Source organism: Homo sapiens, chromosome 2 (genome assembly GCF_000001405.40).
Source record: "Homo sapiens chromosome 2, GRCh38.p14 Primary Assembly".
NCBI classification, from domain to species: domain Eukaryota; kingdom Metazoa; phylum Chordata; class Mammalia; order Primates; family Hominidae; genus Homo; species Homo sapiens.
The window spans coordinates 162,756,405-162,779,325 of record NC_000002.12 but is presented as its reverse complement, the minus strand read 5'-3'; the positions used below and the strand labels follow the sequence as shown (position 1 = coordinate 162,779,325).

The 22,921-nt window shown below is 33.9% G+C and overlaps 1 protein-coding gene and 1 long non-coding RNA gene across 8 annotated transcripts in view, besides 1 other annotated feature; one reads left to right on the top strand and one right to left on the bottom strand.

Moving 5' to 3' along the window:
• Nucleotides 1-10,390, bottom strand: part of KCNH7-AS1 (KCNH7 antisense RNA 1) — a 29,037-nt gene extending 18,647 nt beyond the window's left edge. The window contains exons 1-2 of the long non-coding RNA NR_110258.2: nt 10,338-10,390; nt 7,335-7,395 (exon numbers count right to left, since the gene is read on the bottom strand). This is a non-coding gene — a long non-coding RNA (KCNH7 antisense RNA 1). The remainder of the gene's footprint in view (nt 1-7,334; nt 7,396-10,337) is intronic.
• Nucleotides 1-22,921, top strand: part of KCNH7 (potassium voltage-gated channel subfamily H member 7) — a 467,361-nt gene that overhangs the window by 59,442 nt on the left and 384,998 nt on the right. The window lies entirely within an intron of this gene.
• Nucleotides 10,393-10,687: a silencer, noted in NCBI's record as "tiled region #9339; HepG2 Repressive non-DNase unmatched - State 24:Quies". NCBI's record gives its function as "represses a minimal TATA promoter and a strong SV40 promoter by Sharpr-MPRA in HepG2 cells {active_cell/tissue: HepG2}" and the evidence as "EXISTENCE:reporter gene assay evidence [ECO:0000049][PMID:27701403]".

Here is a 22,921-nt window from a genome sequence, read left to right as displayed (position 1 = left end):
AGGAGGCTGAGGTGAGAGAATCACTTGAACCTGGGAGGTGGAGGTTGCAGTGAGCCGAGATTACGCCACTGTACTCCAGCCTGGGCAACAGAGCAAGACTCTGTCTCAAAAACAAACAAACAAACAAACAAAAAAAACAAAAAAAATTAAGACTGGCTTAAATGCTGTCGTTTTTCTTAAGGTGAAAGCTCTCCTACAACTTTTGGAAAAAATACTTTTTGCCATAATTTTTGCCAACAAAACAAAACAAATTAAACTGAATATTATAACAGTTGATAAGTAATTAAAATTACAATAAAGTTTTTTTTGGATTTCACTAAAATTGCGTTTGAATGACCTAGGCAGATGAACCCCTCAGAAAGACAAAAAAAAAAAAAAAGAATTTGTTCCTCTCCACTAAAGGGTGTAGACTCAATGGGTCAATAATTGGCCAAGTAGTAAATGCGTATAACTCAATGAATAAATTTACTGTAAGTAGACACAGGTCAGTTCTATTTCAGAATATCATGCTATGCAGTGATGTCTGATAGTATGTACATTAGTTTAAAATGAAAATATCTAAAATATCAGTTTCATAATGAGGTAAATGTGAATCACACCCATTTATTCTCTATCATCTCTTTTTGTGTGATTTAATAATTGTAAAAAGTATTAAAATCACATGATAAAATATACTTTTGATATTTATTGCATATAGTGAAGAACCTTGTGAGATTATTTATTCAAGAACATTCAATGCTTATCTACCGTGTGCCAGGTTCTGTGCAGGCACTGATAATAAGATCAGGAAAAATATACATAGTTCTGCCCCTCACAGTGTAGAGTAATGAGAAGATAAAGGATTTGAATTTAGACTTGTCTGGTAACCCAAGACGCTGTTTATAGATTGCATTACTTGACAGTTTAATGAGCTTCTCTAATTCTCCATTTATTCAAAATATATTTATGGAGACTCTCCCATCTGCCTACTACAATTTAAGATGGTGGACAAACAGAAATGAATAAAACAGGTAAAAATCCTTAACCTTAAGAGACTGACATATCAATTTCTTTATCAGATAAATAATATAATATCAACTTCATTGTAACAAAGATGAAATGAAAAAATGTATATATAGAGCACTGAGATTAGTTCTAGAAAATAAATTGACTTCCAATAAAGAGAAATTCCCATTTTCCTTTGATTTATGGCTCTTTAGACAATTTTTTCTACAAAGCCTCATTTTTTTAGAAAGAAGGATCTCTGTTTTTCCCATCTTTGTATTCAAGATAGGAACTTAAATTTTATTGAATTGCTATTATTTGGAGAATCATTCATTTACCACACGCATGCCAAAAAGTGTCACCATATTGGACAAAGTTAGCCTTTTTAAAAAAACAAATGATAATAACCAGTCTTATAAATTATATAAAATCTGCTTCAACTTATTACATTCAATGTGATAATGCAATTACTGTTAGTTCAATTTATATCAATAGTTTGCCTTGTTTCACACAAGGGACCAAATAAAATACATAGTATTCTCTTTCTTATGGCATAGTCAGAGTCATGTATTTTAACCTTGATTGAAATCTTGGCCCTGTTACTTGCCATAAGGCTGTTGGTAAGTGCTTCACTTTGCTGGGTCTTTCTGTTTTCTTCTTTGTATAATGAGGATGATTAAAACCTCACAAGGTTGTTAGGAGAATAAAATGAGATACTGTAATACAGTGAGTATATGTAAAGCACTTAGCATAGTGCTTGGCTTATATAGGAGATGCTCAACATATATTCGTCTCCTCAACTTCAATATTTACTCTTACACTTTTACTACCATAAGTAGAAAGTACAGTCAGCACTCTGTATCAGTGGGTTCTGCATCCATGGATTCAACCAACTGCAGATCAAAAATATTGACAATAAAAAGAATGTGTCTGTACTAAACATGTACAGACTTTTGCTCTTGTCATCATTCCCTAAGCAATACCATATAACAATTATTGATATGGCATTTACATTGTATTCAGTATTATAAGTAATGTAGAGATGATGTGAAGTAAACAGCAGGATATGCCTAGGTCATGTGTAAATATTTTGTCATTTAATAAAGAACTTGAGTATGCTTGGATTTTGGTTATCTGTGGGGGTTCCTGGAACCAATCTTCCATGGATACCGAGTTATGTCTGTACTATACTGGTGGTACTTGTCAAACAGCAGAATAATCCTAGGGATTCCAGGAAACCCTTTAGGAATTTTGGAACACTTCTCTCAGAGTTTCTATTGATGTTAAATCACAGCCTTTATGTACTAGTCAAAGATGGTGAATGGGCACTGAACTCCAAGTACCAACTCTAGTAACAAAGAATTGAGAACAGGGAAAGAGTGAAGAAGAACTAAAAGTTGTTAGAGGGCTTATATATGAAACTTCTTATAGTCTAAGAACACTGGTCTCATGACCAATCTCTACCCAAGCCAGAAAGTTACTTCATGTTCATCTTCTCTACATTACTCCAGTTAAAGCTCCATGGGGAATGAGAAGCAGAAATATACCTAATATCTCAGGTAAAAATGAGTGGGAGAAGAGCAGATATTATAAAGATATGAGAGAAAATCCCATTGCCTTTTAAGATTATGGAATGCAGTACAGTCAGGTCCCCTGGAAGGGAAATTAGGAATCATAAAGTCCTAGACTGAGCTACTGTCTCTTTTAGAGACTACATGATCTGAAGCTCTTTCCTCTCTTCCCTCTCCCAATGCATCTCCTTAATAGCTCCTCTTTCTCCTTTCTCTCCTTCTCTTTCTTTCTCTTGTCCTCTCCCTTCCCTTCCTTTCTCCAATGCATCTTTCTCCTCTCTTTTTGTCTGTCTCTACCACTATTTTTTGACTTATATTTGGCCCAAAATACAGTCTTCAAATCAATATGTCTTTTCAGCTGAACACCCAAAAGATAACCAATTCAGTCTTGCACTATTTTAACTACACTTAACAGAGAGAAACTGATTTGGCCCAGATCGTTTGTATTGGCCAATGATTGGCCTCCCTCGACTTGAAGATGAGCACATGGGGTTGTGTACATGTAATACTTACATGAAGCCTCCCATCCAGAGGCTACATGTAGGTAGAGAAGGTTCACTAGGAAGGGATCATTTATATTCCTAGCACCACACAATGGATGTGGAATGTAGTATGTACTTGATAAATACCTGCTAAATAAATGAGAGAACGGTATATTCGTAGCTTATTTTTGTAAATGTGTACTCTTTTCATACTTTACTAGCTTTACTAATAATTGACAGCCAATATGTGTGGACTGCTTATGAGCCAGATGTTGTTTCATGCACAGTCCATGTATTCACTCTGTAATCCTCACAATATTCCTATGAGAAAACCAGGCATAGATTGCTTAAATAACTTGCCCAAGTTTACATAGCTAGTAAAGAGCAGAGCCAAGGCATGTGCCTAGGTACTTTAAAACTGGCATCCACACTGTTGATCTGTATGCTGAATCCACTCTCAACATGCACTTTATTCTACACAGTATAGAGCAAGTCTATATTCACTTATGCCACTATGGATATTTTAGCATTTTGTAGTAGTTATTATTAAAAACAAGAAAATGAAATTGTATAGCAGCAACTTAATGGACATCAAGGAGGTCAAAGAGTTTTCTGGTACACAATGCAAATGAATGCCTAAAAAGTATAATCATCTTGGTCCTAAAAATCTATTAGTTTTTTTCCTTTTCTTTGCATTCTCTGGTTATATAGCTCTACATTCTTTCCTTTTATAATCAGTTTTTTACTTTGATTATTCATTTTATCCATATCCATTTGACTTTTAAATGTGATGGCTACTCTTTTAAAAGCATCATTTACACTCAATTTCTATTCCGTAGCCCCAAACCACAACTCATCAATGCCTCCTCAAAGGGTAACATGTGAGTAGAAAGAGAAGCATGGTAGACAATAAGAGGAAAGTATTTTGTGCAACAAAGAACAAGTCACAATGGCAGTGTAATTTCTAAAATTCAAATACATTATGTATAATACAAAGATAATGAAATGAAAAGTACAATATAGTTCAAATTAAAACTAGACTCACTGTTAAAGAAACACAGACTAACACAATCAGATAATTTTTTTTTACTAAACTAGTTCATTTTTTTGAAAAGATAATATTCCCTGATATAGAGAAGGCATGCAGTAGGAGAGTAGTGTATTTCTAGCAAACAATATGGTTATATGTATTAAGAGCTTTCGAATGTTCATTCACTCCTCTTTCAAAAATTATATTCAAAAAAATTATTTCAAGGGTCACATAAATTTGTGTACAATGCTGCTCATCACTGTTTTATTTATACAAATTAACATCTTGTAATTTAAATGATCCATGAGAGAATATTAAGTTACAGATTGTACATATAAAATATTGTGCTACTATTAAAGTGTCTATAGAAAATTAATATCATTATTAATTGCCCTTGAAGTGATGCCTATAAAATTATTCCAGGAAACAAGTGTGGATGCATACACATTCGTAAACAAAGGAGACTCGAAAGACACCAAAATATTTATAATCATTATTTCAGTGGGGTAGAATTATACACTAGTTTTCTTTTTTATAAATTTTGATATTCAGAATTTTCTGTGATAAAAAGTTTGTTTTGAGGGCAATATTCTTCCACTGAATTTATAGTTAAAGAAATATATTTACTGATGACTTCTTACCACACACAAGCCCAGAGCATCCACATGCCAGTTCATCTTGGGAACAGACTTGCTCTTGGTACATTTGGCCCAAAATCTTATGGCTCTAAGTTAGAAGAAACCTACAGTTACCCACCCTCCACACAGGATAAGAGTTGTAAAATACAATCAAATACTACCATTCTGATAATCCCACTCCCAGAATGAAATTCTTTGCATAAGCAACACAGAAATGAATGTTTCTATCCAATTCCTTCTTTCTCTCCCTTCCCTGTTGAGGATATAAGATCTCTCCACTTCTGACCCATGTTTTGCTAATCATTATAAAAGCAAGTAATAAAATCAATGAGGTAAAGAAAATAAAATGTTTAAATAATACAAGTTTAAATGACTCAAGTTTAAAATAAGCTTAAAGTGAAAATAGACCTAAGAATATATTTTAAATAATAATTTATAATAAGGACATTGACATAAGTGTAGAAAGTTTCTTTTCCTGATCTGAAAGGCTTTATATGAATTTTCATAGATTTGTATTTCATGGTATATCCCTTGAACTTACTCTCCCAAAAAAGAAATCACTAATCCATGACACTGGAGCTCTGAAGTTCAATTAAAATAGCACCTCAAATTATTTTCTTTAACAAACAATGATTTTATTACCAGAAAAAAAATCATAAAATACTAAGTATGAGTGTTGAAAATAAATTGTCACAATTGGTGAAAGCAGTGATAAAAATATTTTTTGTGTTTGTAATTTTAAGAGAAAGACAATCCCGTTTATCATATCATTTTATTTTTATTTTAAACAATGGATAATAATAAGGTTGTAAACATTTATGAAATACTGATCTTCCTCAGAAAAGGTTTATCCTAAGTACTGTTTTTTGATAACACTGCTTATGATAAGCTAAAGTTTGATGCCAGCTACAAAATGACAGGCTATTTCATAGGTTTTAAAAATGTTGAGTTTTACACTTTTTTTCTTTTGTTTTTGCTTTTGTAGGTTTTTGTTTTTGTTTCTTGATGTGCTTTTTGTTTCATTTTGTGAGTCATAAGTTAACACTATTTTTATTTGCTCTTCTTTCGTTGTCATTTGCTGACACATTTATTTCAAGTTGGCAAGACATAAGTTTTCTGTGTTTTGTTTTTTTAGACAGTCTCACTCTGTTGCCGAGGAGGCTGGAGTGCAGCGGCGTGATCTCGGCTCACTGCAACCTCCACCTCCTGGGTTCGAGCGATTCTCATGCCTCAGCCTCCCAAGTAGTTAGGACTGCAGGTGCATGCCACCATGCCCAGCTAATTTTTGTATTTTTAGTAGAGACAGGGTTTCACCATATTGGCCAGGCTGGTCTCGAACTCTTGGCCTCAAGTTATCAGCCTGCCTCGGCCTCCCAAAGTGCTGAGATTACAGGCATGAACTACTATGCCCGGCCTCTATTCCTTTGATATTGGAGGACAGATTATGTCTATCATTTGACAGTTACAAATTATCTTGTTTAAGGAAATACAGCCATGTTTTGCTCTAGGAAGAATTCTGACATGGTATAAAAATTAAACAACTACCGTTCTACAAAATATGTTTAAAGATCACTGTCATGATTGAGGTGAACTTATCATTTGAGGTGAAACTTTGCAACAATTGGGTACTTGGGAAAAGATGGGTGCAAAGCTTCAAGGAGAGCGATTAGGTTAGCCATGTGTAGGATTTTTCCTTTTTACGGAAAAAGTGGAAACTAGACCTTTTTGTTTTTCTTCTCTGAGTTATATATGTCTATTTCCTCCGCTGTATAAGATTCTCAAACACAGGGATGATATCATATTCACATTGGTACACATTAAATGAATGTTTAATGCATTGAATTTGTTGAAGTGGGAGAAAGAAAGAGGGAGCAAAATGCTAGAGATGTAAAAGCTAGTTATATTTACTTGAACTGTATTCCTAATTGGCTTCCACTATTGATTCTGTGTGTTCAAATGGGGCTTTCAGTATCTTAAGTTTAAAATAGATTGATGTGTTTCCAAATATATCTGAGCTGGCTGATCTGGTGGTCACTTGACTTTAATACTTGTGGCCAATGGAAAAAGGGAGAAAAAGGAAGAGATTCAATAAATACTCCAACAGGAGAAAATGTACAATACTGAATTAATTGGAGCAAAAAGAAATGTTTAACTTACAGAGTTATTGTCATGGGGATTGAATGTGATAATATATGTTGTCTTTTTTAGAGATCATTTGGATACAAGAACCTGAAAACTGTTTACTAATACAAATAAATAGGGATACATTTTAGAGGGTACAGGAAAATTCCTTAATGAGTAATCAAAAATAAAAAAGTATAGCTTACCTCATAAAAAATTAAAAAGTCTACATTACTCTCTTTATCTCTTTCTCTCTCCCTGGGACCTCATGGTCTGTCCTCAACTCATTTCTCTAAATGTCTGTGCCATTCTTTATGATATTTTTGGCCTAGGATAACAGAAAATCTAACTACAAGAGGGTTATACAACATGAGATTCATCATCTTATATAACAAAATGTTTGGAGGTAGAACAGATTCAGCAGTGGTAATTCAACAGATCAACTATGGCATGATGGATCTAGGTTCTTCTTATCTTTATACTTTTCTGCCTTAGCCTGTAGGCTTACCTGTTAAGCTGGTGACTTCAATCGCCCTCAGATAAATACCTCACTCTCATGCGTCTGTTGCCTTGAGAAAGAGAAAGGGATTGTGTTCTTTCACGCACATTTCTTTTTAAGAGCAAATACTATCCATTAGGTGTACTCTGGCAATAATTTTATTTGTGAACTACATAGTATTATAACAATAATTTAAAGCTATTTATAAAGCTTTCAAATGGAGATAGTCTAAAGATATAAAAATACGAGATCAGATAAAAGGCTAGGAAAAAAATCCAACTTTCACTCTGAGACTATTAATAGATCAAAAAGTTATAGGCAGTCACATGTAAATTGTTTAAATTTGTAGAAATTTTATTCATTTGGAATACTTTTCATATTAAAGTTTATTATAATAGCTGTTATAGTAATTCTAAATTAAATAAATAACATACCAAAAAATCTAGTAGAGGCAATAAAAATGTATACAAATAAGAATGATGCAAATCCAAATGTAAACTTCAGAGAAAGGGGCAACCAGGTGTACCTTAACATGGAGGGAGGAAACTGAGGAAAGTTTCATGGCTAAAGTGATATTTGACATCTAGAAGTTGGGATAGAGGAAACCTACACAAAGGAGGGAAACAGAGTAAATATAGACTCACAAAAGCCAAGTTGCAAATACATGAATAATATTATGGAATCATGAGAAATTTCATTTCATAAGAGCAATGAAAATAACAATAACATGTAGAGTGGATTTTGATCATGAAGTTCCCTGAGAGTCAAGCTAAGAAGTTTTAGTTTTGCATTTAGAAGCCGGAAACCATAACATATTTCAAGGAGCCAGTAATGTGCTTCAGAAAATGGAAATGGTCTGCAGAATGTTGGGGAAATTGGAGATCTGTAGACACTACAATAGTCTAAGCAAGAATTCATGATTATCTCAACCAGAGGTGAATGAGAATGAAAATGAGAGCTCAAATCCATGAGATTGTACCAAGTTGTAGAGGCATAAAACATAACCATCACCTGGATAGGAAGAAAAGGCAAGTCTAAGATTTTTGGACCAGACCATAGAAACTAGAAGAAAGGTAATGCCTTTACCAAAAGTATGACAGTGAGGAGAAATTTTTTAGGAAGATGTGATGAATTGTTCAGATCTGGGTCCAGTGCAATTGAGATAACTAGTGGGACGTTAGTTGCAAATATTTGGGAAATTCAAGTCTGGAGCCTGGAAGAAAATTCAAGAGTATATTTAGAAATATAGATGTCTTCAACATATTGATAATACACAAGAACATAAGAGGAAGAGAAAAGGTGAAAATAAATAAAGATTCATGAGATGAAAAACAAAACATTACTTTCTCATAATGTGTATTATTCTATCCGAATCATATAATAGTCACAGTTTCAGGATGAATTTCTGCCATCTTAATTGATTTCTCAAAGCCGTTATCTCAAAGACGTTAGTATCATTGTTTTACAGTTTATGAAACGGATGCTCAAAGAGGTTAGACGTTTGACCCAAAGCGTACAATCTGAAAGCAGAGATATTGGAACACTTGTGCTTGGCTTTAGACTGTAAATCTCATCTTTAATAGTTTATAGTTAACTGAAATAAGTATAAATATAAAAGCTTTGTATTTGAAATATTAAAGAAAATATGTATATATATGAATGTATATATATATATGTAAATATGTATATATATTATATCCAAGAGTAATGTTCAGGAACTCTATATTTTAATTAAATAATTTAAACATCTCTACTGTTCTCTAAATTCCTTCAAATTTTGAATCATCAAAATAAGTTCATTCAGATTTTATAAAGTAAAGGGATGAGTGGATTGATGTGAGAATTATCAGGCAAATATGTAATCAAATTCCCATGTACTCAGTCTTACGATGTAGCATCTGTGAATAGCTGCAGTTTCCAAATTAAACCAGCCAATTGTTTCATTAATGTTACTAAAAATTTAAAGTTTAAAAGCTCCTAGTTGGACAAATGGTGAATTAATTTAAATTTTAAATCAAGAGCATCACTTTGCTTTTGTATTGTACCATTCTAAAAATCCCAAAGGGTTAAAAACATGATTATACACCTATGTTCAAGATTAATTTGTTTATAAGGACAGCTGTGCCTTCTGATTTGCTTATTTGCATCCTAAGTTTGTGTGTTTACAAAATTTGACTGTTCAACCTGCAGATGCCGTTTTTAATGTTTTGCTTCAAAACTTTTAACCCCTTGAGTTTCTATTTTATTCCATGTCATTTATATATATACATATGCATATATGTGCACATATGCATGTATTTTATAACCTAACATATATATGTATGCATAATATATATAAACTATATATAGAATATGTATATACATAAGCTATAGTATATACAATTCAGTTGGTAGGTGGTCTGTTCCTTAAAATAAAACTGTATTTTTCTCTACCTTTTCCTTGGAGATGGCCTTTCCTTAGTATAGTCTATAGAAGGCTGTTATAAGCCGGTTGCAATAGCAGTATGTGGGCAAGAGGACTGTAAATTCAGTGAATATTATTAGTTTATGAATATTCATTAAATTTGTTTGTATGCAGCAACTCAACTTTGTAAATGGTTGCAGCCAAAAAAAGCTCTAATTAGAGGAATTAATTAGTATTTGGAAAGGTATACAGGGATAAGTGGGCATTTTGAAGAGGTATTTTTTCCTCCTGTTGAGAAAAATACCTTCTAGGGAGCTTGCAATACAATTTGTGTGCATATCAGGTAGAAATAAACTGGAGCGTTTCCAGTTTTAAGGCCGCAAGAGAGCGGAGGTCTGTTGTTCAAGCTAGCACAAGATACTTTGTAGATCACAGAATACCTTGGTCTTTTCTTGTTGGAATTCACCATGTTTTAAAAGATGTTGTTACTCACCAACCTTCAAATGCCACATTTAACCCTACTATAAAGTTAAACCAAGTTAAACAAGAATAATCTGACAACGGAAATTATTTTCCATGTCAGAGTGGTGCTTCTTTGCCTCTGTTACCTCCATAATATCCCTGCCACCAGCAACCAAAAAGAAGCAGCTGTTCTGAATATGTACAAACAAAAGAAGCTGTTACTATAGCAACCATAGAACCCTGTGGAAAAGCTCTCCCTTTAACACTAGCCAACCTCTCCTCTTCACCCCTCCTTCCTTTCCTTTCCTGCGCCAGCACAGACTGCCCTTGGACAGAAATGATACTTGGCGATTCGACATGGGGAACCAGAGTAAACACTACAGCCTGCATTCACACTTTCCAAGAGCTGGAAGACTTGCTCCTGGCTAAATCCTATGAAAAGGCTGCAGAACCTGACAACACTTATGAAGCTCTTTGTTCCTTGTTTCCCAAACCTTCCTTCATCCTCCTTTAAAAAAATCCTACTGGCCTCTCTCATTCATGACTTGATGAAGTAATGATATCTCTTTTACCTCTCCGTTGTCAGTTTTTCTCTATCCTATATCCATGTTCATGATCCAAATGTGGCATTGCTTAATTAAGTCTGTGGATTTTGCTGATTCCAGAGTTGGTGTTGAATTGGATGGAAGATAGGGCACTTTTGACTTCAGAGGTAAATGGATGATGCTAGATGATCGATGCTGTTGGGTTTTTTCCCTCCATGTGGTAAAACATAAAGGCACAATTTATAAAAAAAAACCCAGCTTCAGAAAATCTGTCCAAAACGATTACAATTTGAGGCCTTTCTCCAAAGTTGTGTTTTGATTAATCAATAACATCTTTCACTTACTTTTTTATGTCCTTTGATAGTCAGCCTTCAATTTACTAATTGCTTGTACTGCCAAATTAGTCTTTAAGTCAATCATTTAGGAACTTAAATTTGTTTTAAGTCAGTAATTTAAAACGTGGGACATATTTTGTTGTAGATACTATCTACTAACTACTCTGCTAACCCAAAACATGGCTGACTATCTTGCTAACACAAATCAATTTATTTCATATTTCTCTTAAATATTTTCTTTGCTTGTGATGAAATTGTTTAATTTCAAAAGCATCACAGGCAGATTAAAATGTTGTAGGATACTATTTGAGTTTTTCAATTTACAGCATAGGACTTTATAAATAGCCTTGTGATTCAACAATAACTTGAATGATGCTTTCTAACTGGGGCTAACCCTGGTAAAATTTGTTCATATTAATTTAAAATCCTGAATTAAAAACTAAGACATGGGTAATTGTCCTATTGGTTATTAAAAGTGTTTTAATACTTTCATTAAAAAGACTATGAAGTATTCACCCATGAATATACAGGTCAGTGGGATATGATAAAACTGAGAAAACGGCCCACTTATTTATGCAGTTATAGTATATAATAAAAACAGCCTTCTGTATCTGTGGGGAAAAGGTGAGTTAATTATTAATGATGTGGGTACCATTTTAGCAGAATCTGGGGGAAAAAACGGATGTATACTTTAAAATTTACATCATAATTAATTCCAAATAGATGAGTTAAATATAAACAATGAAACTCCAATAGCAGTAAAACTATGGGAGAAAGATGATGAGAGCACTGAAAAACCTCTTTCCACCTCTCAAGTTCAGGAAAAATATGTGTGATTATATTTGGTGTTGATAAGGATGTGAGGACCAAGCTTTCATTTATTGTTTGTGGAAATGTAAATTGGTAAAATTTCTATGAAGGGAAATTCCGATATAACTTTAAAATTTTCAAATGTATATACTGCTTATTTTTTTATTTTTTTAAATGTGCCATACTCTTTAACTGAGTAAATTCACTTCTAGAAAGGTGTCCTACATGTACAATTAAACATACTAGGAATGACAAGAGTATGTACATGGTTATTCATTGCAGCAAAATATTAGAAATACCATTTATGCCCATGAATATGATATGGGTTAAATAAATTATTTTACATTCATATTATGGGAAAATATGCTGCCATTATGAGTGAGAGATTGAGACAGAGAGAAAGGATGCTCTTCATAAACTCTTTATAAACTTATATGGAATAATCTCAAAGATAAATTGTTAAATTTTTTTAAAGCCAGAAAAGAACAATGTACAGAGCATTCTACTCTTTGTGTAGAAATAAAAATGATGTGTGTTTATGTGTGTGTGTGTGTGTGTGTGTGTGTGTGTGTGTGTGTGTAATGTGCTTAGAACATCTTTGGAAGGACACACAGAGCACAGATTCACTAGAAGCATCAAATCTTCTCTGGAGAAGTAGCTCAGTTTCTGCATTACAGCTGGGAAAGAGACTTCATTTTATAACTTTTGTGTATGTTGAATTTTTAAGATATTGCCCATATGAAAATCCCTGGACGTAAAATGGTCTGAAAATGATTGCTTTCTAATCTCTGCTGCTCAAATGTTTGGCAGAAAACTGGAAGACAATAGCATAGATGTAAAGAAAAACGACGACTAAAATAAATAGGAATCAAACAAACAGTTCTCCACTAATCAAGCTTTTTTTGTTTTGTTTTGTTGTTGAGGAACTCCTTGATCTTCTGATCACTTCTGGAATTTAGACTTGTCAGAAATTATTGTGACAACAAAGGGGTGCTAGACAGACTTGAAATGTTAACAAAAGGGACTCTATTGCCATGTTTTAGACCTTCTTTTCACTGATAACTAGGTCTTTCACAAATTCACAAGCCCTTTCTTGTAGTTGGATTTTTGTTTTGTTTGCTTTTGCTTAACCTGTTGTTTCACGTCAAGGCGCATGTGCCAAATGTGAGCAACGCTGACTAGTGCTGAAATTGAACTTTCCTGATCAATAAGGGGCACGGGTAATTTCAAGCCTTCCTTCCTTTGACACACACACACACAAAACACACACACACATTTAAAAAGAAAATGAAGTATACAGGAAAGCAAAAACATTAAATGCTTTTTAGTAGTTTTTAGTAGTTAAAATGGAGGAAGGGAGAAAATAAGTATGAATAGCAGAGCATTTGTTATAAAAGAAAAAAAAAAGTTCTGCAATCCCAGCTACTGAGGAAGCTGAGGCAGGAGGATGGCTTTAGGCTAGGGGTTTGAGACCAGCCTGGGCAACATAGTGAGACCCCATGTCTAAAAATAAATTATGTAAAAATTAACTGGCTTGGTGGGGCATGGTCCCCGACACTTGGGAGGCTGAGGCCGGAGGATCATTTGAGCCCAAGAGCACAAGGCTGCTGTGAGCTATGATTGTACCACTGCACTGCAGCAGCCCGGGTAAAAGAGTGAGACCCTATTTCAAAAAGAAAAAAGAAAAGAAAAATATTCAGAATTTTGTCATCAAGGTGAAGTAAAATTCATTCATTTATTGTATTTTGATCATATTCATTCTTCACTATGTATTGAGCCAGCTCCATGAAAGACAGTAATATGACCACTTAAATTTGTCGTTATCACCCCCTCTATTAAATTCAATAAACATTTTTTGTTATCTTTTACAAACACTGCTTGTTAGGAGAACAGTGTGGTGTCAACAAAGTAAGACATATGCACCTCTAGTCCCTATGAAGAAAACCTTCCAGCACACAGCAAAGGACCTACCTATATTAGAAGCCCCACAGAATTGAAAGAATTGAAACCCATCGAGAAGAGTTGTTGCAGAGAGCGAGATTCAAAGTGTGAACACTCATCCTTGTCAATCAGGGTTCTCATTCTTAAACACAATGTCAGAAGTAAGCTGATGGTTATATTTAATATTTAGGCAAGAAGATATATGTGTATGCATTTTTGGACTTGTACACATACCAGGATTCAATAAAGTATCATCTATTAGTGGAGTTTTGAAATTAACATCTTCATTTCATTTTCCTTTTTCTGCACCCTGCAATCAGGCTTTCTTTTTCTTCCACCTTGTTCCCTGAAGAGTAGGTTTATGTTGAATGTTGGTGTTAGTAGCAGCTTGATCTTCTGTTTTGTGCCTTCTTGTATTCTTTTTCCTCCTTCCTTACCCTTCTCCTGGTTATATCCAATACAATAAAGTCAGTGTAGATATTCATGTCAGCATTGTGACATTTTAATATTTTTTAAATTTGGTTTTATAGCTCTGATGTTTATATGGCTATATATGTCTAACAATTTAAAAATATAACAGCTTTAAAAAATTATGTTGGCTAACCAAAATATGTTGGCTGAGCTCTCTTTGCCTATTTAAAGTAAATTTATTTTGGCTAGAGTAAATGTATGTATGATGCTTCATAACATACTAAAATATCATGAATTTGGGAAAATAAATTTAAAGTTGAAACTGCATCTGCTTAAAGATATTTATGTTTACATTGGACATTTTTACAAATGTCTTTAGCTTTTTAAAAATAACTCATGAATTGATTTTTTAAGGCATCTGTATCTAAGCTTACATTGTTTATTCCCTGTCAGTTTCGATCTGGCTTTTGTACTTGCAGTAATCTGTAAAGAGAGTGATTATTTATGCTTGGACATAATTCTACTGGAAAAATAAGTCTATTCTATACATTTTAAAGAGGATTTATGTATCATTTTGCATTTCTAGTAGTTTCTAATAATGACCTAGAACAACTTGCTAGATTACACTAGATTTGACCATCTTTAACAATATTTAGATAATTGGGAAATTATACTGTCTATAAAATATTATGAAGGAGGCTACATGGAGAGAAGGCATATCTCCTTGGAAATGATTTCCTTCTTAATACATATATAAAATATGACCACATTGTGCTTTGAATTTTTATGATCATGCTAGCCATAAAATCAAAGCATGATGGCTTCTTGTAGCTGCTGCTATTTCTCTTTTATAAAATGAAACTTTCAGAGACATCATACTGACTGTTCATTTTCTACTTCCTGATTTGCAGTACTCTGACATGAGTTTTCCATGAAACCTTAAGGAATCGTACAGTTGCAGTAATATACTATTGGGAAATATTTACCTATTTTTACGTGAAATAGCAAGAGAAAAGCCAAATATTTGGAAAGAAAGAAATACTAAAGAGGAACTTTATAAACATTGCCTACTGATGTAAAATCTTTCCTTAGGACAGAGGAAAAAAAACCCTCACAAACACACATTTCACACACATAGACTCCTGTAGCATCTTTATTAAATTCCTCACATCAATTTGTTATGGTATTTGTCACATTGTTTACACAAAGGCAAAATAGCTAAATTTTTTAATCTCCGGAGACTACTATAGTAGTTGACACATAGTAGGCAGCAAATGAAAGAACCAATAAGCATAAGTAGTAAAAAAAAACAAAAGCAAAACACACACACACACACACACACACACACACACACACACACACACTGCAAATGCCTTCCTTCCAGATTAATTTTCTACTAGGTATTCCACCCAACTAAGACAGCATTACTAGCCCTCTAACTTCCCCTGGTCATTCATTTCTCTTAACACAATTCCTATACCCCATTTCTCTCCCTGCAATTTGGTTGAATGTTTACTCTCTATGGATGCATCAAGCTCTGGCCATCGTATTTTCTAACAATTTTGGAACTTTACGGATCCTTTTAAGTATCAGCATGGTGACAGAAACTAGAAAGAAGCACACTGTGTAACTTGCAGTGAGTAATTGGCAGTTTCAGATAGTGAAAGTCAACTGTGTGTGGGTGCTATTTGCAATTAACAAACTATATCTACTTGGTATATCGTTAAGTGGAAAGCAAATGGCATAGTAATAACTGATAAAAATGGATATAGATACAGGGCTTTTGGGTTCAAAACTCATCAATTGAATGATTTTAAAAATGTTTCAATAATATTTGTAGTGTTTACTGAGTACTCAGAATGGTGCTTAATGAATCATGGCTCCTGTCTTAAAGGAGCATACATTCATTTATGAAACTAAATTTGTACAGTTGAGACAAAGTTATAGAAATTTCAAGAAATTAGTCAGTTGGATGGAATCTTAGGGCATGATTCCTGAAATTCTTATAGAAAAGTGGACAAAAATTAGAAGAGAGAATCATAGTAGCAGTGATGGATCTCATTATCTCTGTTCTATCCATTGTATTATAAAATACTTTCAAGATGACATGATGAATGTGTTATTTTACTGGCTGAAGGTTCTTCCTCTTCAATTTTAAAGAACTGCTTAAATAATTGTTCCTTAATTTCATAGAATATATTGATTGCTTATTCTAGATAAAACACAGATTAAGACTCATACCTCCCATGTTTACCTATACCTTTACAGTTTCCTAAGCATATTTACATTATTTATATAACTTTATGTCTCATGACAATTTTATAAGGTGGGCAGACAGGAGTTATTATAACTATCATATAAAAATGAATATGAGGCATATACTGACACTATGACTAAAATCCAATTTTTATGGCTCTTCCAAACATTCTTCAGATTCTCCCATTAAGGAGCTCAGACTTTCAAAACACAAACACCTGAGACATATAGACTGAGTTCTAAATGAGTGAAGTGTACAATGCTGCTAGTGTTGAGAGGAACACCCCCAGTCACCAGCTAAAGTTTGTGCCATAGGGTGGTCTTTATCAATTTCACATCTGGTAATTGTATCAGAATGGATCTAAAATCCATAGTCTTTCTTCCCACTGCTCCCAAAAGCATAATTCTTCTCTCCACATCTCCTTCATTCACCCTCCCTGTCCCAGTGTTAGTCTCTCTTTCCTTCCAACAAGATCTTTCATTAGCTCAAGTTATTTGCTGACAAGATGTTATAACAAAAGCCTATATGTATATATATATACACACACACACATATGTATATATACATATATATGTTATTTCTTGATCCCTTTGAAATAAATTGTACATTGTGTAGAAAAAAAACAAACAAACAAAAAAGCCATGAAAAAGGAAAGGAGATCTCTAGTCAGGGAAAATAAAATGAGTAGTTGGAGAAAAGCAGTGGAGAGAAAGATAAGATCTAAAGAAAAGAGAGGGAAGCAGAAAGAAAGGGAGCCTTTGTATTCTTGAGAGGCAAAGAGAGCAACGCTGAATGTTGGCTTCTCAATTCCTCTGCCCATTCTTGAGGGACTCACCTTTACTATCTTTCCCTTCTTTGGAGATTCAGCAACTCAACTCAAATTACATTAAGGGAGAAAAAAGTTGAGACTTATTAGGAGAATAGGAAATATCAGAATTAAAGGAATGTTTAACAGTCAAACTCTAGGAAGGGGAGAGGTTCTGGCACAGCTGAGAAGCAGCTGGATCTATAGACTCAAATACCACCATCCACTCTTATCGAATCCCTCATCTGTGCTTCTCTTTGTATGATGCACCTCACACTCAGGCAGATTTCTTTCCACTGTTAGAAAGTGATAGGTAAACATTGCCAGATTAAAATTAGACTGCCTGACTTAGATAAGAGCACTATGACTTAGTTGCACTAAGACTTGGACATCGACTCTAACCTACAGTTTCCTTACCTGTAATATGTGGTGTATAATGATAGAGTTGCTGTTAAATGTTCAAAGTGCTTAGTAGAATGTCTGAACTTAATAAATGTGAATGTTGTTGCTGTAATCGAATCAGATATTTTGACTTTGGGGAACATTTTTTCTTAGTGCTGTCACCAGACAGAAACCCTCTTTCTTTAGTTACAGTTTGAAAACAACTTGAACAACTTGAGAAAGCCTCTGATAATCTCATCATATGTTCGGGTTGTAAGGACACAGGGACGTTGAAACTCCAAGCTTGAAGTCAGAAGAAGAAAGATATTTCCAGAGGAAAAGGTGGAAATGTTGCTAAGCCAACCAAGCAATAGATACTCACCATAGATATCAGAAAAATCTATTCAATGCCTACAGTAGAACTCCCTCACTTAAGCTTGCTTGAGTAGCTTTCTAATCAATTCCTTGATATAGACAGGGATATAAATGTAGGGGGAAATGTAGATGAAGCAAAAGTGTTAAAATTCAATATGTGTCATATGACCAGAAGAGAATTGTGTTACTAGTTTTTACAGAATTATAAAAACAAGCTTATTTTTGCTGTAATGTATCCACCTGACTCTTAGGTAGAACATTTTTAAAAGGCATTCATAAACTTAGAAATCACAGCCAAGCAACTAGAATGATAGAGCAATTGTAATTAGTTGCTATTCTACACGTAAATAATGTATTGTTCATAAGTGAAAGAATAATACCTTGTGCGGATCTTTCTAAGGAAGTTTTGTTAGAATGCATTATCTAGAGAAATCTTACGTGTGCTGTTCAAAAGACCATATTTAAGTATTCAATAAAGCATATATTTTAGAGGGAAAATCCTTTTAGAGCAGATGCTGCAATGAAATAAAATATTGAAGCCAAGCTTATTTGTATGCATACCAACACTAAACATTTCTGGTGTAATTAGGTTAAAGACAAGTGATTCACTACTTTTGATCGCATTAAGAATACTAGTATATGGCTCAGAAGATATTATTTAGAGGAGTAATGAGAAGGGGACCATTAATGTTACTTCACTCAAAATAAAAATTTATAGTATTTTGGACTTTTAATGGTAACTAAGTGATTATTCTCTTAAAACCTACAAGGCATAGACATTAAGGGGACGCAGAATTATTGCATGGGTCCCCTAAATTTACAGGAGAAATAAGCATGTCTGAAGATTGAATAAATAACATGTCTTGCACACATGGTGATTTTTTTCAAATGCAAGGAGGAGTTTATTGAGATTTATAAAAATGTAAATTAATTTAAAATATTTTCTGAATGATGGTTTGTGACAACTAATTTCCTGTTTAACCAATGTATGTCAGAGCAAAGTATTGTTTTTTGTTTTTCTACTTGAGACTTTTTTTAGAAAATTATGCAAGGTGGTTACTAAACTAGAAAATGTTTGAATCCCCTGCGTTAGATTTCCACTGAACATGTCACGTTTCAAACTATGTCAAAGTGTTTTTGAAGATAAATAAGTATTCTAGCTAGCTATCATAAGCTACACAAATTCATAGCATTAAGAAATTATGTGCCACATGACCGTACACTTGGTTAACATAGTGAAAATACTAAAGCTTTTCCACTTAAGTGACGTTATTATCTTTCATTTTCAGTACACACTCTATGCAAAGTTATTACATATTCTTCAGGACTTTGTATCTTTTGAATGTTTTAATAAGTGGGACTCTGAAGGCAATTTTTGGCAATTTTTGTGAAGTTGAGAACAATTAGTGGAAGCAAATACACATTCTCATCTAGAAAGTAATTATTTATCAATTTTTGACATTTACATTGTTTCAAAATTCTCTCATTTTAAAAATTCCAAAAGCTTTTGTTCTCTGGATATTTTTTCTTTTTCTACTCTTTCCTCTCTTCCTCTGTTCTTTCTTTTTTCCTTCCTTCCTTCCTGCCTGCCTGTTGTCATGTTCTTCCTTCTTTCCCTCCCTCCCTTTCTCCTTCATTTGGTCCTCAATCTAATCACACCTAGCTTGCAACTTATTTCCAATCAACATCAGTGATAGATCTAAGAGCAATTATTGTGACATGCCCTTACTATTCTTGAGTTGTAGAGACCCCAGGACTTACATTGTTCAAGAAATTGGGCTGAGAAACCTTGACAGGGTTAATCCATTGTGATCACCACTGAAAATGTACCGTGATTTGTCCTAGGGATCTACTTGAAAGATGACCTTTCTGCTGACAAGTTTACTCCCTCAGTGCTGGGCTGAGCTATTCTCCCCAGACTCCAATGATACCATGCAGCTATTAGTCCCTAGGCTAGGTACAACTTCCCAGGACCTGTGTGAGGCAAGGTTGCAGGTCTCTACCATTAACAGAGGACAATCCAATTTACTCCTCTGACTTGGGCCTCTTACCTTTCAATCCAGAAGTCCCAAGGTCTCTAGTCTATTCTTTACGTAGAGTACAGTTAAATATTCCCTTCACAGATCTACATTTTTATAAACAAAAAATTGTTACTCCTGGAGGTAAAAGAAACCCAGGCCCAATCTTTAGCTACCCATCTGGGAAAGAGTGGCAAGTACCTCTCCTTCTTTCATGAGGAGTCAAAAATTTCTCAGGTCATTCTTTAACAAGGAATTTTCATTAGATCAACCAATTACACTACATTTGAATATTATTTATGTCATCCTTTGTTTCCTCAAATAATAACTGATTTTTCCTTCATATTTCCTTGGCCTCAAAATGTGAACCCTTAAATGTTCTCCTGTGCATAGCAAATCATGAGACTTCAAACCTTAGCTAAAAGGCAGTAAAGTTGTTATTGCTTATTTGCTTTTAATTTTTATTGAAACTTGTGTAAATTGACTCACACTTTAAGTAGACAATGCAAACCTATAAGAGAATTCAATTATAAAGCCTTTGGTATAGGAAATAATTTATACAGAATGTAATGCTTTATCAGATTTGCTCGATTATATGCTGGTTTCTAAAAACAATACAACTATGGGTATATACAAATATGTGTATATATACATGTATATGTAGATACGTAAATGTAGATACTTATACACATATATATGTATATGTAGCCACATATATACATATATATACGTTTATATATACCCATAGTTATTTATATACATATAAACAATATGTGTGTGTATATATATGTGTGTGTACATATAAACAATATATGTGTGTATGTATACATACAAACTTTAAGTTACTTTTTAAAGCGAGAATTTCTTCAACATTTTTGGATTGCTGTTTATACAAAAAATAAATGGTGTCTCAGTTTGACTAAAGAATATAACCTCCAATAACGATATAGCCTGGCTGCTTATACTGGGTCCTGCCCAATGTTTATATCTGCCCAGGATCTCAGGGAACTCTCATCCCCTCCAGAGAACCTTCCCTGACTTTCCTCTCAGTTCAAGGTCTAGGTCTCATCTTTTTCCTAGAACACACTAATTAAACACATCCACTTTTTCTTCAACATATATTTACTCAGCTCTTGCTATGTTTTAGCGACAACAGATCCCATGGAAACAACAGAGAAGAAATAAGTTGTTTTTACTTTTCTCCCGGTAACCAGTGTTAGACCATATCTGCATATAAAATCTCCTTTAAGAGTTGATATAAACCTACTATTACTCATAGTACTCACTCCAGCTTTGGTTCTGCCCAAGTACAGTGAGCTTATTGAGAATAAGGAATATATCTCAGTTGTGCATGGTAGTGACTCATATGAATTGGATGGCTGTGCATATGAAAATATGGCACTCAATGGCAGTTTTTATTGAAAAAACTAGATAACTTGACCATAATTGTCCTAAGAAACAAGACATTCATCTGCAATTTACTTGCACTCAATAAGCATGCCCTAGTTATTGTCTTGTGAGAAATCCAAGGTCTGATATGATGTACTCCCAGGATAGAGGGGTAAATTTTTTTTTCATGTCATTCTCTATAGCATGATTATGAACCTGAAGAAATAAGTATCTGTGCATGGCAGTTCCTTTACCTAGAAATCTTGGTAACTGAGATATCTTTGTGGTCAAACGTTTCTAAAGATATATACATTTTTTTGTGGGGATTACAGGGAGAAATGGCTAACCTTACAAACATTCTTGGGAGATTTTGTTTTGTTTTGTATTTCTCACCAGATTTGAATTTTAGCAAAAAAAGCTATATTATTTCATCAGGAATCTGATTAAGACTGCAATTTTGAAAAGGGAAAAATTCATTAAATAGACTAATGGAGGAATCTGAAGGGTAGTCAGTAAAAGCAGCTGCTTTTTCAATACATGTTGGGAGATTTGTCTGGGAGCCTTTCTTCCAAATGATACTATTTCAATCATGCCTAACATTTAAATCTCTAAACACTGATATTCCCATTTTAATTTTAGCTGGCACCAGAAGGAAATGGTAAAACAGCAGATGATTACCTCAGTACTTTATTCCACATTTTTTAACAGCTTTACAGATTCAAATAAAAAATAATAATCTAAAAATGAAAAATGCACAACTAAAATTAAACATAGAAAAAATATTTTTAAACCAAGAGATTCTTTTTCCTTGTAACCTCCCAAATGGTGGAAAGTAAATTTCACAGTGGAATGTACACAGGACTTAATTTTACCACGGTTATATTATATTTTGATGACTAACTTAGGCTTTAAAAAATTGATATTGATTCAGGCCCTATTAACTTAAATTTTGTGATTATTTAGCTAAAGGATTCATTGATGTTTGTTTTTGAATTTGTGTCATCTAAAAGCGAATCTCACTTTAGAAACACCCTGTGTATAAGCTAAATTGTCCTTTAAAGCGAATCTTCTAAATCTTTTAATTTAGTTTAATTAGCAATTTCAGGGCCAGGCACAGTGGCTCACACCTATAATCCTAGCACTTTGGGAGGCCAACGCAAGAGGACGACTTGAGCCCAGGAGCTTTAGACTAGCTTGGGCAACATAGACCTCATCTTTCTAAAAAATAAACAAAAATTAACCAGGCATGGTGGCAGGTCCCTGTAGTCCCAGCTATTCAGGAAGCTGAGGTGGAAGGATCCCCTGAGCCTGAGAGTTCAAGGCTGCAGTGAGCTGAATGTGCCACTGCACTGCAACCTGGGTGACAGAATGAGATTCTGTCTCAAAAGTAGAAATAAAAACAAGTTTAAATGGAAGCAAAAGAGTTGAAATTTTCCTCAGATGTAATATAAAATAATTGGGAG